The 15837-nt window shown below is 34.7% G+C and overlaps 1 long non-coding RNA gene across 1 annotated transcript in view, besides 3 other annotated features; it reads right to left on the minus strand.

Annotated features, from left to right (window-relative positions):
- The window catches only part of LINC02864 (long intergenic non-protein coding RNA 2864), a 110441-nt gene extending 94857 nt beyond the window's left edge, over window positions 1-15584 (minus strand). Inside the window, exons 1-2 of the long non-coding RNA NR_034133.1 lie at window positions 15326-15584; window positions 6899-7004 (exon numbers count right to left, since the gene is read on the minus strand). This is a non-coding gene — a long non-coding RNA (long intergenic non-protein coding RNA 2864). The remainder of the gene's footprint in view (window positions 1-6898; window positions 7005-15325) is intronic.
- Window positions 486-1685: an enhancer, noted in NCBI's record as "CDK7 strongly-dependent group 2 enhancer chr18:70916635-70917834 (GRCh37/hg19 assembly coordinates)". NCBI's record gives its function as "activates an origin of replication core promoter dependent on BRD2, BRD4, P300/CBP, MED14 and CDK7 cofactors, with strong dependence on CDK7, by STARR-seq in HCT116 cells {active_cell/tissue: HCT116}" and the evidence as "EXISTENCE:reporter gene assay evidence [ECO:0000049][PMID:35650434]".
- Window positions 9901-10118: a silencer, noted in NCBI's record as "fragment chr18:70926050-70926267 (GRCh37/hg19 assembly coordinates)". NCBI's record gives its function as "represses an EF-1alpha promoter that drives an FKBP-Casp9 reporter gene in an ReSE screen in phorbol 12-myristate 13-acetate-treated (for megakaryocytic differentiation) K562 erythroleukemia cells {active_cell/tissue: K562(+PMA)}" and the evidence as "EXISTENCE:reporter gene assay evidence [ECO:0000049][PMID:32094911]".
- Window positions 15074-15575: an enhancer, noted in NCBI's record as "H3K4me1 hESC enhancer chr18:70931223-70931724 (GRCh37/hg19 assembly coordinates)". NCBI's record gives its function as "activates a minimal SCP1, AML or CMV promoter by ChIP-STARR-seq in primed H9 embryonic stem cells {active_cell/tissue: H9 hESC(primed)}" and the evidence as "EXISTENCE:reporter gene assay evidence [ECO:0000049][PMID:30033119]".

The raw sequence follows: 15837 nt of genomic DNA on the forward strand, positions 1-15837 counted from the left end.
TCAATAATATTAAAATGGACTTTATTATATAATAACAAAATATTGTTAGAATAGAAAGATAGTAGACATACTTCTTCTTATTCTTCCCATTTAGTAAAACCTAGGATATTGTGTACAAAATAAACATAAGGAGACTCTGAAATACGAAAAGAAGAAAGCACACTGGCTGAAAACTTTGGCCATGTAGTGCTTTAAAAGAACTATATGACTGTGTGTTCCCTGGTTTTTGTTTCATTTTGTTTTATTTGGCACATATATCCCAGAAATGGAGATAAAGAAGCCAGCAACCTGGAAATCCTAACCAAAGACTGCTCTCTTGCCAAAGGGCCAAAGGTACAGCCTCCGCAGACAGAAGACTTTCGGCAACCCCACGCTACTCCAGCCAAACACAGTGAGAGAAACTGTTCCTTGCCTCCACGGCCACCAAAGCCCCTTACAGGGCATGTCTCACTCCCATGGGTTGGTGTCAGAGAGGGCCACGTAAGGAGACAGGTCTCCATTGCCACGGGGGAAAGCCTAAACTTCTTCCCCCACTTAGCAGTAATGAGGAGCCCACCCTGCCTCCCCGCTGGGTGTGTCAAAGGAGGCCAGGTGGTGAGCAGAAACCAAAATTCCTAGTCATCCCAGATGGAGCGTCTCAGTGGAGGTGGTGAGCAGAAACCAAAATTCCTAGTCATCCCAGATGGAGCGTCTCAGTGGAGGTGGTGAGCAGAAACCAAAATTCCTAGTCATCCCAGATGGAGCGTCTCAGCGGAGGTGGTGAGCAGAAACCAGAAATTCCTAGTCATCCTAGATGGAGCATCTCAGTAGAGGTGGTGAGCAGAAACCAAAATTCCTAGTCATCCCAGATGGAGCGTCTCAGTGGAGGTGGTGAGCAGAAACCAAAATTCCTAGTCATCCCAGATGGAGCGTCTCAGTGGAGGTGGTGAGCAGAAACCAAAATTCCTAGTCATCCCAGATGGAGCGTCTCAGCGGAGGTGGTGAGCAGAAACCAGAAATTCCTAGTCATCCTAGATGGAGCATCTCAGTAGAGGTGGGGAGCAGAAACCAAAATTCCTAGTCATCCCAGATGGAGCGTCTCAGTGGAGGTGGTGAGCAGAAACCAAAATTCCTAGTCATCCCAGATGGAGCGTCTCAGTGGAGGTGGTGAGCAGAAACCAAAATTCCTAGTCATCCCAGATGCAGCGTCTCAGTGGAGGTGGTGAGCAGAAACCAAAATTCCTAGTCATCCCAGATGGAGCGTCTCAGTGGAGGTGGTGAGCAGAAACCAAAATTCCTAGTCATCCCAGATGCAGCGTCTCAGTGGAGGTGGTGAGAAGAAACCAAAATTCCAGTCATCCCAGATGGAGCGTCTCAGTGGAGGTGGTGAGAAGAAACCAAAATTCCAGTCATCCCAGATGGAGCGTCTCAGTGGAGGCCTAGAGGTGATTCAGAACTTGCATCTCTGTCACGCAGTAATGCGGAGCCTCTTCCCCAGCGGCCAGGTGAGGGACCTGGAATTATAACCCTAGCTGGGAGTAACCCTTCCTCCTTTGCTGCCAGAGCAGTTTCAGAGGAAATCCAGCCAAAACAGAAGGTTGAAATAAGATCTGGTGTCTCATTACATAATACTCAAAATGGACTACACCTAGGCATGTCATAAGCGAACCAGAGTCAATGAGAAAAATTTTGAAAGAAGCCCAAGGAGAAAAAAATACCTCACATTTAGAGGAACAAGAATAAGAATGACAGTGGAGTTCTCATAGAAACCAGGAACACGATGATGGAATGAAATGTTTAAACTGTTAAAAGAAGAAAAGCACCAATCAAAACTCTATATCCAATGAAATTATCTTTCAAAAGTAAAAAAAAAAACAAAATCTTGCTTGAATAGACAAAACATAGGAATAAAAATACCAGCAGACCTGTCCTTCAAAAAATGATTTTGTTTGAGGGAAGAAAAATTATGTAGGTTGGAAGTGGGAATCTATCTAAAGGAAGGATGTTGGAGAATGAATAAAAAATGGTATAACAGAATCTTTTATTTTTGTTATTCTTAATTGATCTAAAAAATAACTGTTTAAAGTGATAATACCACAAATCCACTGAATGAATATGTATAGTGTATGGATAAGTGAAATGAATGGCAGTAATGCCACTAGGGTTGTGGGAAGGAGAAATAGGGAATACTCTCTTATAAGGCACTGCACTGCTTATAAAGAGGAATCGTCTATTTAAAGGTGGACATAGATCCGGTCAAAATGTAGAATATGGACTGTAGGGAAATGACTACAAAAATGTGCAAAAGAAGTAGAATTGATGCGTGAAGATGGAAGACCAGAGGAAATCATAAAATCTGTCAAATCCCAAGATGGCAGAAAATAAGCATCTGTTAAAGGTAGAAAGCAGAAACAAATATGGGTAATATTAACCCAAATATATTGATAATTGCTTTAAAAGTGAAAAGAAAAGACAGAGATTGTCAGAATGGATGAAAAATAAAATATAGGTCTAAATGTAAAGTACAAAAGTGTAAATTTTCTTAAATAAAACAGGACAAATATATAATATCTGGGTTCAGTAATGATTTTTATATATGAAAACAATAGCTCAATCCAAGAAAGAAAGAATAAGCTAATATTATAACTTTGTTATAATTTTAAGCTAATTATAAAATAATAATTTATGCTTTGAAAAAGATACTGTTAACTGAATATAACGATTAACTACAAGCTTAGAGAAAATGTTTTCACAACACATATATGTAAAAAATTTGTATCTAAAATTTACAAAGAATGTTTCAATCTCAACAATAAGACATCAAACAAACCAATTATAAAACTGGCCAAATCTGTGAACAGACATTTCACCAAATAAGATATACAGATAGAAAATGAGCATATGAAAAGATGTTCCCTGTCCTTTTCACTATGCAGTTGCAAAATAAAGCAATGAGGTACCTATATGCACCTACTAGAATGGCTAAAATCCAATAACTGCCATTACCAATTACTGACAAGGATACACAGCAAATAGAAATGGACTAAATTTGTATACATCATAATAAACACATATTCAGCTTAATAGAAATACAGATGCTAACAGAAATATTTACAGACATGTGTAGATATTAACATGAGTTAGTGTACACATATATATCCCCTTGATCTTTAAACTGAGAAAGCCTGGGAGTAGCAGTGAATAACATCCTCATATCAGTGAATAACATCCTAGCAGCAGTAAATAAACCTCAAACTGAGATCTTTACCAATAAAAAGAGCCATAGCATGTTGGAGAAGTGAATGATTTTAAAACTTGTTAAGAAAATATACAAGAGGAACCTGGACCATTTTGCTGTAACAGTAAGAAAGTGCTCAACACACACACACACACACACACACACACTATGGGAATTATGTCAAAGAATACAAGAGTTAACTGAAAAAGCATCCAATAACCAAAGGTAGAACAATTTGAGCAGCAACATAAATAAAATAGCATTGGATTATAACCCAAAGTATTAAGTGAAATAACATGAATCCGTGAAGATATAAAAAAATTGAATAAAGTAAACAGATATGGAAGAATAGGCAAATCTTCTGTGCAAAATAAATCCAAATTCATATAGCTACCTTGCCCTTCATGAGGTGGATCATAGCTCCCCTCTCCACATGCGTGGGATATCTATAGTGACTTCCTTCCAAGGAGTGCACTCTGGAAACGAAGAAGAGCACAGTAATATTCCTGTGCGGAAACCTGAGAAACACTACCTCAGGCCAAGTAAATAAGGTTAGTGTTGACAGGGTTAAGTCATTTTATAACAAACGCCCTTCATATGATGTGAACAGAATGGCATTCCACTTCTGTCTTCCTCTCAAAAACACGTTAATATAGTTTAATCATGAGAAAAACATAAGACAGACCCCCATTGGGGAACATTCTAAAACACATTAGTAGGGATACTTTTCCTAATCTCTGGAAGTTGTCATGATTATTAAAATAAGGAAAGTCTGACAAACTACCACCACCAAGAGAAGTCTAAGGAGACCTGCCACGTAAATACAATGCAGTATCTTGGATCAAGTGCTAGAACAGAAAAAGGACAATTAGAGCTGAAGAAATTCGAAGGAACCTTAGTTGATAATAATGTATGAATACTGGTTTATTAATGGTGAAAAATATGCTTTAATATTGTAAGATGTTAATAATAAGAGAAACTTGGAGTAGACATTCTCTGTCCTGCCTTTGCAATATTTCTGTAAATATAAAAATTCATTAAAAAGTTTATTTAAAAATATGTAGACATAAATTAATAATCTAAAATCTTGTTGCAGAAACCTAGAAAAGAAAGAACAATATAAACCTAAAGCAGAGAAAAAAGAAAATCATAAAACACCAGAAATCAATTGAAATAAAGATAGAAAAACAAAAGATAAAATCAATGGTCCAAAGAACAATTTCCCTGAAAATATCAATAAAATTGACAAACTTACATCAAGATTAACAAAAAAGAAAACAAAGGGAAGAGATGTCACCAATAATAAGAATGGAACAGAGGAATCACTACAGACCTTGTAGATGTCAAGATGATTATAAGGAAAATCTATGAAAAAGTCTACACACATACATTTGACGAATAGATAAAATTGAAAAATTTCTTTAAAATTGAAAAATTTCTCAAAAAGCACCCAGTACCACATCTCACTCAATATGAAATACATCCTTTAACTATTCAGGAAATATAATTCATGATCTTAAAATTTTCTGAAAATAAAATATCCAGATGCTGATAATTTTACTGGAGAATTTTACCAAACATTTAAACAAAAATTAACATCACTTCTATACAATTTCTTCCAAAAAACATCAGAGGAGGGAACACTTCCTAATTCATTTTATCATTACTAAATTTAAGTCAGCATTACCCTGATACCAAAACCAAGGACAGTACATAAAATGAAAAAAAGAAAGAAACTACAGAACAATATCCCTTGTGAATAAAAATGTAAAAGTTATTATAAAATATTAACAAATAGCACTTATCAATATATATAAAAGAATTTTACACATGAGCAACTGTAGTTTATTTCAGTGTTGCAAGGCTGGCTCAATAATTGAAAGCCAATATAATTTACCTTTAACAGTTTAGAAAAGAAAAATTACAAGATCATATCAATTGACGCAGAAAAATTACAAGATCATATCAATTGACACAGAAAAATTACTTGACAAAATTCAACGTTCATTGAAGACAAAAACTCTTGGCAATTCTAGGAATGAAGGAATATTGATAAATGTCATCGACAAATAGTAAAGTTTTACTTGTAAAGGACAGCTACAAAAAAAACTTGCAGCTAACTAACTTCACACTTCATCAGGAAAGACTAAACGTTTTCCGTCAAGAGCAGGAAAAAAGTAAAAATGAATATCTTTTCTTACTGCTTTTATTTAATACTCTAATTCAACTTAATACTGGAGGTTATAGCCAGAACAAAAATGTCTGAAAAGAAAGTTTAAGAAAATACCGAGGAAAACGTAAGAAATAAAATATCCCTATTTGCAGATGACATGTTTGTCTATGCAGAAAATTTCAAGAAAAGAAAAGCCCAAAATGAGTAGGATAAGCAAGATAAGCATGCAAAAATATTCACATGCTTTAGTCCATTTGGTGTTGCTATAAAGGAATACCCGAGGCTGGATAATTTATAAGAAAGGAGGTTTATTTGGCTCATAATTCCACAGGCTGCGTAAGAAGCATGGGTGTAGCATCCGCTTCTGGTGAGGACTTCAGGCTGCTTCCACTCATGACAGAAGGTGAATGGGAGTTTGCATGTGCAAAGATCACACAACAGGAGAGGAAGTAAGAGAGGGAGGAGGGAGGGGCCGGCCTCTTTTGACAACCAGCTTTCATGGGAAGTACTAGAAGGAGAACTCATTCATTACCCTGAGGATGGTACCAAGCCATTCATAAGTAATTTGCCCCCATGACCTAAACATTTTTCATTAGGCCCCATTTCCAACACTGGGGATCAAATTTCAACACGATGTTTGGAGGGGTCAAATATCCAAACAGTACCAAGATATTTATATTCTAACATTGAATATGTGAAGACTGAAAATCAAAACATAATATTTACAATCAATACAAAGAAAAAAATACTCCATTTTGCATAATCTTATGAAACAAGTACAGATATATATGTTGAAAATTACAAAATGCTGATGAAAGAAATCATAGATCTAAAGAAATCAAAAAACACACTGTGTTAATGGATTTAAAGATTCAACATAGTAAAGTGACAATTTTCCCCAAGTTGATATACAATCTTAATGCAATTTATCTCAAAATGAGAGAAAAATTATTTGTAAATACAGATGAGATTATTTTATATTTTTATGGAAAGGCAAAAAAACTATAGTAGTTAGATGAATTTTTAGATAGAAAAAGACAGAAAAAATTAGTCTACCATAGTTCAAGACATAATATAGCTACAGTCAAGATTTGGTAATATTTGTGGAGAGATAGACATATGGATCCATGGAACACAGTAGAAAGCTCAGAAATTGACTCACATGAATATGCCCAATTCACTGTTTTCAAAGATGCAAAGGCAATTCAATGGAGGAAGGAAAGCCATTCCAATAAATGCTACTAAAGCAATTAACATCTATAAAATAGACAATCTCAAATTAAACTTCACAGTTTATACAAAGTTAACTCAAAATGGATGATGGAGTTAAATGTAAAATGTACACCATCAGCTTTTAGAAAAACACATAGGAGGAAAATTTTTGAGATTTACAGCTTGACTAACATTCTAATGCTTGACATTCATCTTAATAATCTATTTTGTGCTACACTATCATAACAGAATACTTGCAACTGGGTAATTTATAATGAACAAAGATTCATTCTTACAGTTCTGCGTCTGGAAAGTTCAAGGTTGAGGGACTGGCATCTACTGATGGCCTTCTTACTGCGTCATCCCATGGTGGAAGGTGGAAGTGGAAGAGAGCCAGCATGCCTGTGAGAAAGGAAGGGAGCCAAATGCATTCTTTTATCAGGAACCCACTCCCACAATAACTAACCCACTCAAGCAGTAACAATGCTTATCCGTTAGTCTCCTTTTAAAGGTCCCACCTCTCAACATAGCATTGGGAATTGAGTTTTTAACACGTGAACTTCAGGAGCCACAAAGCATAGCAACACCCAAAGCACAATTCATGGAAGGAAAAATGGATCAATTAGAACTCATTATTAATTGCTATTGTTCTGTGAGAGCTCTCGTGAAAAGGATAAAAAAGACAACCTACATATTTGAAGAAAATATTTGCAAAACAACATCTGACAAAGGATTAGTACCTAGAATATAGAAAAAAAATTTCAAAATTCAACAATGAAAAAAATTCAATTAGGAAATGGGCCAAAGATATGATTAAGCATTTCATGGAAGATATAGATGGCAAAAAAATACTTGTGAAACATATTGAAAATCACAACCTGGTAAGAAAATACACATTCAAACCACGATGAGCTATTACTATACACCTATCAGAATAGCCAAAATAAAATATAGTGAAACACCAAATGCTGGTGATGATATGGAGAAACTGAATTACTCATAACTTTGCTGATGGGAATGTTAAATGGTACAGCCACTGTGGAAAATAGTTTGGCGGTTTCCAAAATAAACAAACATGCAACTATCATAACTACAATACAACCTGGAAATTGCACTTCTTGGCATTTATTTTACAAAAATGAAAACATGATACGTACAATACAGTCAAGTTGAATTATTCTATAAAACAAATATTTATTGGCCAAGATCGTAAGATATATATCAGGATCTACAGAATATACTAAATATTTTATATCCAGATATGAAAAGATCAGATCCACAAATCAAATTAGCTAGGCACAGTGGGGTTGTGCCTATAGTCCCAGCTCCTGCAGGAGGCAGAGGTGCGATGATCACTGGAGCCCGGGAGGACGAGGCTGCTGTGAGCTGTGATCATGCCACTGCACTCTGACCTGGACAACAGAGCGAGACCCCATCTCAAACAACGAAAGAAAAATAAAGATCTACAAATCATGTTACAGAAGTAACACAAATTTAAAGTAACTTCCTTTTACAAATGATCCAAGAGAAACATTCTTCTATTTTATCAAGGAGGAATTTTCCTCAATATTTTTAAGTTTGAAACCATCCACGGTCTTATAAATCTTTAAAAAATAATTTTTGAATGTAAGACCACTTAAAACAAAAATATTTTCCTTATCTAAGTAATCCTATTTGCATTTACTCCATCACAGTTACAAGATCAATCAGAAAACAAAACAAATACAAAAAAAAAAAGCTCAATATCTACGTAGATAACAATGCTTTTCAAAAAAATAAAGCTAAAATGTACACACTTAGTGATAATTATATTAGAGAGAACATATACTAACTGCTTATTACTTGTCAGGCACTGTGCTAACAATCTTATCTCCTCACAATATATTCATTAGACAAGCAAATTCCATAGCTAGAGTGCAGAAAATTGAGATTTGAAAATCAAGCTAAAGCAGCCACTGCTCACATCACACACACACACACACACACACACACACACACACACACAAACAAGCATGATTCCATACACACACACACACAAATTAGGACCTTTTTCTCCTTAAATCCCAGCAATCATTGTCACTACAGATATCATAAACAGCAGGAACAGATGCTCAAATGTGCCCTTAGGGCAGCCTTGCATGCTCTGAAAGCCATAGCCTTATGGTAGATATAATTCCAATACTTTTTAAAAGTGAGAATTAAAAAAAAATTAGTTGTTTTTATCAAGCTAGCAAAATTGATAAGGAAAACACAAAATACTTTATTATTTTATATGTCCCAATTTTACAACTAGAAACCCAAAGAAAATAATCTAAAATTTTATAAATGGAAAAAGAAGGTAAAAAGATGACTGGTTATAAAATTAATATGCAAAATCAATACTAAAAATAAAATAACCATTTAAAATATAATGGAATTAACTTATCAAAAGACAAAAATTTTAAAAAACTCACAAGCCTATAATAATAACTAAATCTATTGAGCATTTTTATTGCAAGGAAATAGTCTGTGTTATATTAGCTTATACAAATACAATTGTAAAACGTTTTCTTTAAATCAAAACATATGTCTTAAAATTTTAAAGCATAACTTGCTCTTCAAGCTTAGGGAATGATTCTAGCAATTATTTCTTAATTCTTCTGAACATTCAGTGGGATAACAATTTAACTAAATAGTGTTTGTTTGTTTTGATTTGTTTTGCTAGGAGATATTAAATTAATTTGGTTTTCTGGAAAAAAAAGCAAAAAAGAAATCACAAAAAAACCCAGGATATTTTGAGTAATAGGAAAAATTTTTTTTTCCCTGCTACATTTGATCTTTTAAAGGTAGAGGAATTTTTAGAAGCTAGTATCTACAGGGGAATAAAAATGTAGATCAATGAGTTATAGTAAAATAATGAAAGATACATGGAAATAGTTTCCATTATTAATTGTCATAGGAAACACCACTTTCAAATTTTAGATAACAAATCTGCAAATTGGGCAGCCCTCCGAAGAGGCAGCTTGTCTGGGATCCTCTTGGTGTCAGCTCCAACCACTAGAGCCCTGGAGGCATCTGAAGGGCACCCTTGGCCGTCTGAACCCCAGACTGGGAAGACTCAAACTGCTGAGGCCTAAGACTCCTGGCTCCCATCAGGAATCTCCTTCAGTTTATTTATGGTCTCTTTTCTCATTGGCGGTTTTGGGATAACTGGACTTAATTTACAGGTTCAGGACTCCCAGTGTGCATTTCCCAAGAAAGACGGTAACAAGGGAGAAGCCTCTTACAGACCAGCCTTAGAAGTCACATAGCATCATTCTCATTATAGTCTGTCAGTCCAGCTGGATACAAAGGTCTGCTCCGGTTCGAGGGAAGGGAACAGACCCGTCTCTCACTGGGGCAGTGTCAACGTCACGGAAGAAAGAAGGGCAGTGACTAGGATAGACACCGGTGTGGTCGTCACTGGAAAATATCATTGAGAACAGAAATGTGTTCCAGACTACAGGTGGCATTTCAAATTAGTGCAGACGAGTGGGTATTTAATCATGGATGTTCTTTGGGTTTCTAGTTATAAAATCAAGACATACACAATAATGAAGTATTTTGTGTTTTCCTTATCAATTTTGCTAGCTTGGTAAAAACAACTAATTTTTTTTTTAATTCTCACTTTTAAAAAGTATTGGAATTATATCTACCATAAGGCTATACCTTTCAGAGCATGCGAGGCTGCCCTAAGGGCACATTTGAGCATCTGTTCCTGCTGTTTATGATATCTGTAGTGACAATGATTGCTGGGATTTAAGGAGAAAAAGGTCCTAATTTGTGTGTGTGTGTGTATAGAATCATGCTTGTGTGTGTGTGTGTGTGTTTGTGATGGTAGGAGTGGCTGCTTTAGCTTGATTTTTAAATATAGCAACAGAAAAAAATAATAAATTTTTTATAGCAACAGAAAAACTAATACAGCTTTTCTATATAAATAATCATAAATTATACAAGTTCATTTTACAGTGGAATAATGTTAATACCAGTCAAATATTAAATGATTAAATGAAATAAAACCTTCAAAACACAAGAAGTAATTTGGATAAATTTATTTCTAACTGAAATGTTAGAGGCTTTCTCAGGAAGACACGGAATTTATAAAGGAACAAATAAAAATCTCCATAAAAATTAAATCTCATGAAAAGAAAATTAAAACTAATATGAAATGAGACACTGAAAAGTTTGAAAAATATAAAGCAATGGGGTTTATAGCTTTAATTTGGAAAAAGTTCGGAGAAAATATTTTTTATAAAGAAAATAGATTCAATACAGAAATTAGTAAAGGAAATTAATGATTACAGAAAATAGAGAAAAATTAGAAACTCTCAGAAAGTATAAGGAAAGTCCTTAAAACCATTTATAACTTAAGAAGTGCATATCAAAATCAAAGAATATATTGGGCTAGGAAGATGTCTTTGTATGTATTCTCATATTGCTTAAAGAGCAGAAACGATTTTAAGGCTATTGTATATTTTCTGTACATATATCTATGAAACAAATACTTTTCTTTTATGTCCTTTTGCCTAGATGAAATTTTACGCCACACCAAAATAAGACTTAATTTTCCTGCAGCATTGATATACAAATATAATGCTTATTTAAATACTTGAAAAACAGGAGATGATGAATATTTATAGTATGCATAATCTGAAGATCACATTTCTGTACCTGGATTGAAAATGTTCAGACTGATAAAAAATTGAGCCTATTCCAAACAGCAGGACTCTAGAGGCCAGAACAAGGTTCTACTCCCTGTGGTAATAAATGAAAAATACAAGAATAAAGCCGACTTTGCTGAAGAGAATAAAATGCTCTGATTTCAATAGCAAACGTAGATTAACAAGAGCAGATTCCTTGTCAGTTGAGGTTAAAAGCATTTGCTTTATTGATACTCAGAATATCTCCTAGTAAAGTTTGTGTTTTGTTATTCATCTCTATGATATATATATCCTTGGGCTTAATAGCAAAATTGATAGATAATGAGAGAGAGGTGGACATGCACCTTACACACACACATCCCTGCGGTGAAAAAATTAAACCTGGAATCTAACATCATTGTGGCAAATAGCCAGCTTCCTTCCATTTTTCATGTTAGTAACAGAGAATTAATAGCTGAAACCAGGAAAAGTTTTAATGAAATCAGAAAAATATGCTATAACAAAGAAGGCATCATAGAAACTTTGCCATTATTAATGTGGTGTTACACGTTAGTATAAAAGAAGAAAAATTGTAAAAGGAAGACAAATATTCTTTTCTGTCCTCTAATTTCTACCAGTAGAGACTGATGCTATTCTCTAAGAAAAGAAATTCAATTGTGACTTTAAAAATGTCTTAGAAAGCACTCCACTGAAGGATGAATAAAGCTATCTGAAAGACTCCAAATTCAGGCTTACTGGCATTAACTCCTTTTTACTGATCATAGTTTAATTTGTAACTTGCTTATCAGTTTTGAAAAAAACAACATTTTCTGTAAGCACATTTAAAATGTGCTTACAAAAGGTCATTTTTGATGCCCTCGAACTTAGCTTTTGATGTCTTATTCATTTATTTTTTTCTTTATTATTTTCTTTTTCTACTGGTTGTATTCTTTATTTATTTATTTATTTTTGCATCTGTTTATTTCTTTATGTGGATGTTTGCATAATTACCGTTAAGTCTTGTCAAATTAAGTTTGGCCAAAAAGCTGCCTCCTTACATATTTTAAATTCCACCTAAAGGTCTCTCCATACATAGTGAACTTTAATCCACTAGATGTGTAAACACGTTTTTACTTTTAACAAGTAGCAAAGTCTCAGCCAATCACAGTGGCTGACCTTTGACCAATCACAGGTGGCCAACTGTTCACACCTTGTTCAAATAAGGCAAAAGCAAAGCTGTAACCAATCTAGCTGTTTCTGTCCCTCATTTCCATTTTCCAAACTTCACTATCCTTTTTCTGTTGATATATGTTACTGACCACGTGGCAGCCCAAGTCACACTGCACCTGTTCTGGTCCCGTGGCCTGCCCAATTCACAAATTGTTCTTTGCTTGTTTAAACTCTGTTAAATTTAATTTACCTAAGTTTTTCTTTCGACAGCCTGAGTTATTATTTAAATGTATGCACTTGAAGTTTTAAATTTCCATAATATGATATTTTACGGCATCACTGAAGTTTTGTCATGTAACATTGTTATTGCTTTTTGGTTCTGTTTCGTGGAAGAAAGACTTTAGCCCCTTGTCTTGCACGTAAGTAAAAAATATTAACCACGCAACAATCATTCATCCCAATTCACTGAAAACACAGAAAGCTAGGGTTCAGGTAATGCTCATCTATTAAGATGCCTTAATGTAATTTCACATTAAATGCCTTCTGTCAAATGCTGAGCCCCAGAAGGTTTCAGAAAAACACATTAATCAAGCAAAACTAAGGTTATTAGATTTAGTGCAGTAACAGAGAACACTACCTTGACAGAATCTTAATAGTGTTTCAAATTGGGGAAATTAAAAAAAAAAAAGAAAACATAAGGATTTAGAATTCAGATTGGATGAGTTTAAGGTAGGTCTCTCAAGCCTGGTGTCTGAGTTTGGGCAGACTTTATGATGCAATATCCTGTAATTTCTATTTTATTTTTTATTGGATCCATGGAATATGTTAAACTATGTTTTTCTTTTGGCGTTCAATTGTAACTTTATCTTTTGTTTATTGATTTCTGGCTATTTGCATTGTGATCAAAGAACTTATTTGTATGACACTGATTTTTTGAAATTTTTAGGACATTACTTGGGGCCCATTGTATAAGCACTTTTGTAGTGTTTCGTAGAAATTCACCTTCTTGAGTTTGGCAGTATATATTTCTATTTATGTTTGTTCAATTCGATATTTGTGTGTTGTTTAAATCTCCTTTGAATTTAGGTATGTGTTCTCAACTTAAAAAAACTTCAATGAAAAATTTGTCTATCTCCTTTTGCAGAACTGATAAATCTAGGTATTTTCATTACTGATATATTTCTAATATTTATATATTTTCTCTTTTTTTTTCTATCTGGTCTTTTTTGATTGAAGTTTAAAATGTCATTTTGTCCCCTCTTTCATTTTATTTTCATGTTGTGACTTATAAACTCTACCTTGATTCTTAAAGTGGTTACCCTTGAAATTTTACTATGCATTATTAAATTATTGAAGGCTGAAATTAATCATTATTACTACTCCCTTTTAATATAATACAAGAGCATTAAAATTACCTTATTATAATTTCCCCAAATGCATTTTGTATTATTATTGTTGCAGCTTCTCAAATTAGGCATAAATATTAATGTTCATAACAGAAAAAATGCGTATTGCTGTCACTACGTTTATCACCTTCTTTGTTCACTATCCCCAAAATGTCAAACATTATATTGGTTTTTTGCCTGAGGGTAGCAGTGCCTCCAAATTCCTTCTTTTAATAAAGGGGAATATATTTGTAACGTTTTGTTCAATTGAAATATAAAGCATGATTTATCCACTAAGTTTTTTTTTCAATCCTACTTATTTCAATAGTTTTTGCATTGTCATTATTTTCTAAGTAAGAGTTTCTCAGGAGAATGATTTTTTTAATATTCAAGAGTTTGACTTACATAAATGCATTTATATGCACATAAGGTCGTTGTTATTTTCTAGTAGCCATAAGTATATACTTTTATCTTCTAGAAATTGAATAAGGTTTTATTCTACTTTTTTCTCTCATAGTAAATCTATTACTCATGCTCATTATTCAAAGATGCTTACCTTCAAAGCATTGCCTTTTACTTTGAATTTCATATTCCATATATATGGGAAAAGTTTCGTATGTATGCATACATTAAATAAACCTTATGAATTGTAGAGCTTCATACTTCTAAATTATTTTTCCTACTTATTGATATATTACTGGCTGGAAATGAGTTATAATTTATATCAATATCCTTTTCCCTTGTTTCCCTCTTACTCTGCAATATTAAAGATACAGGTCTCAATTTGTTCTATTACATTTCCTCTAAGTTATCCATAATCAATTGAATTAGACCAAACTAGATGTTAATCTTCAGAGTGAGAGGGAAAGTTTCCCTGAATCCTGCACAGTGGGTTGTGGTATAATGCAGCCCTCTGAGGTACAATTGTAGGCAAATCCCTTTAAGCAGATCCCATTAATGTTCCCACTATTCCCCAACTGTCACTGTTTTCTCTGTAGCAACTCATTTCTTCTTTTGAAGAACACTTTTCCTTAAATCTCACTGTCTGATTAGTGATACTGATAATTTAGTTCTAAAATAACTCAACCTGCATCTACTCTTTACCCTTATTTGCCCCATCTATAATGTTTCATCAGGAGAGAAGAAAGTATTACCAACTTCTACTCCTGTCATTTACAGGGTTGAGAATTTCAGCTTAAATGCATGAATATTGATGCGTGGAAGGGAGGTGAGGGAGCTATAAGGGCAGCCCAGTGGAGGGCCTTTTCTAAAGGCAGCTCGGTGAGACCTGAGTGTGCCCATGTCCACACAGCAGAACACGGCAAAACCGACAGATCCCAGATATGAGACCACTGTATCCACAGTTTTTGTTCTAAGAAGCACTTGTCAAGAAAGAAATCCTATAAACCAATGATTAACTTTACCTTTTACTCCAGGAAGTCTCTACCAAACAATTACCCAACACTTAAGGACTTTGAGAAAACAGCTTTCCTGAAAAAAGCTTACTCACCTGGGCGAGCCGTTGGTGATCAAGGACACTTCCTGATTAAGACTTGCTTTTAGAACTTCATAACTGCTGTCGGGCGCGGTGGCTCGCGCCTGTAATCCCAGCACTTTGGGAGGCCGAGGTCAGGATCACGAGGTCAGGAGATCAAGACTTTCCTGGCTAACACAGTGAAACCCCGTCTCTACTGAAAACACAGAAAATGAGCCGGGCATCATGGCGGGCGCCTGTAGTTCCAGCTACTCGGGAGGCTGAGGCAGGAGAATGGCGTGAACCCGGGAGGCGGAGCCTGCAGTGAGCGAAGATCGCGCCACCGCACTGCAGCCTGGGCGACAGAGTGAGACTCCGACTCAAAAAAAAAAAAAAAAAAAAGAACTTCATATTGCTGTGTCCACAAATCCCAGACTATTGTGGATCATGTTTTCAAGTTCATGCTCCTCATTTGAAAGACTCACTGTCAATTATTTGAATCTGTACCCCCAAACCCTAAAACCATGAGCCTCACAAGGTGGTGTTCT

This window comes from Homo sapiens, chromosome 18, assembly GCF_000001405.40.
Source record: "Homo sapiens chromosome 18, GRCh38.p14 Primary Assembly".
In the NCBI taxonomy this organism is placed as follows: Eukaryota; Metazoa; Chordata; class Mammalia; order Primates; family Hominidae; genus Homo; species Homo sapiens.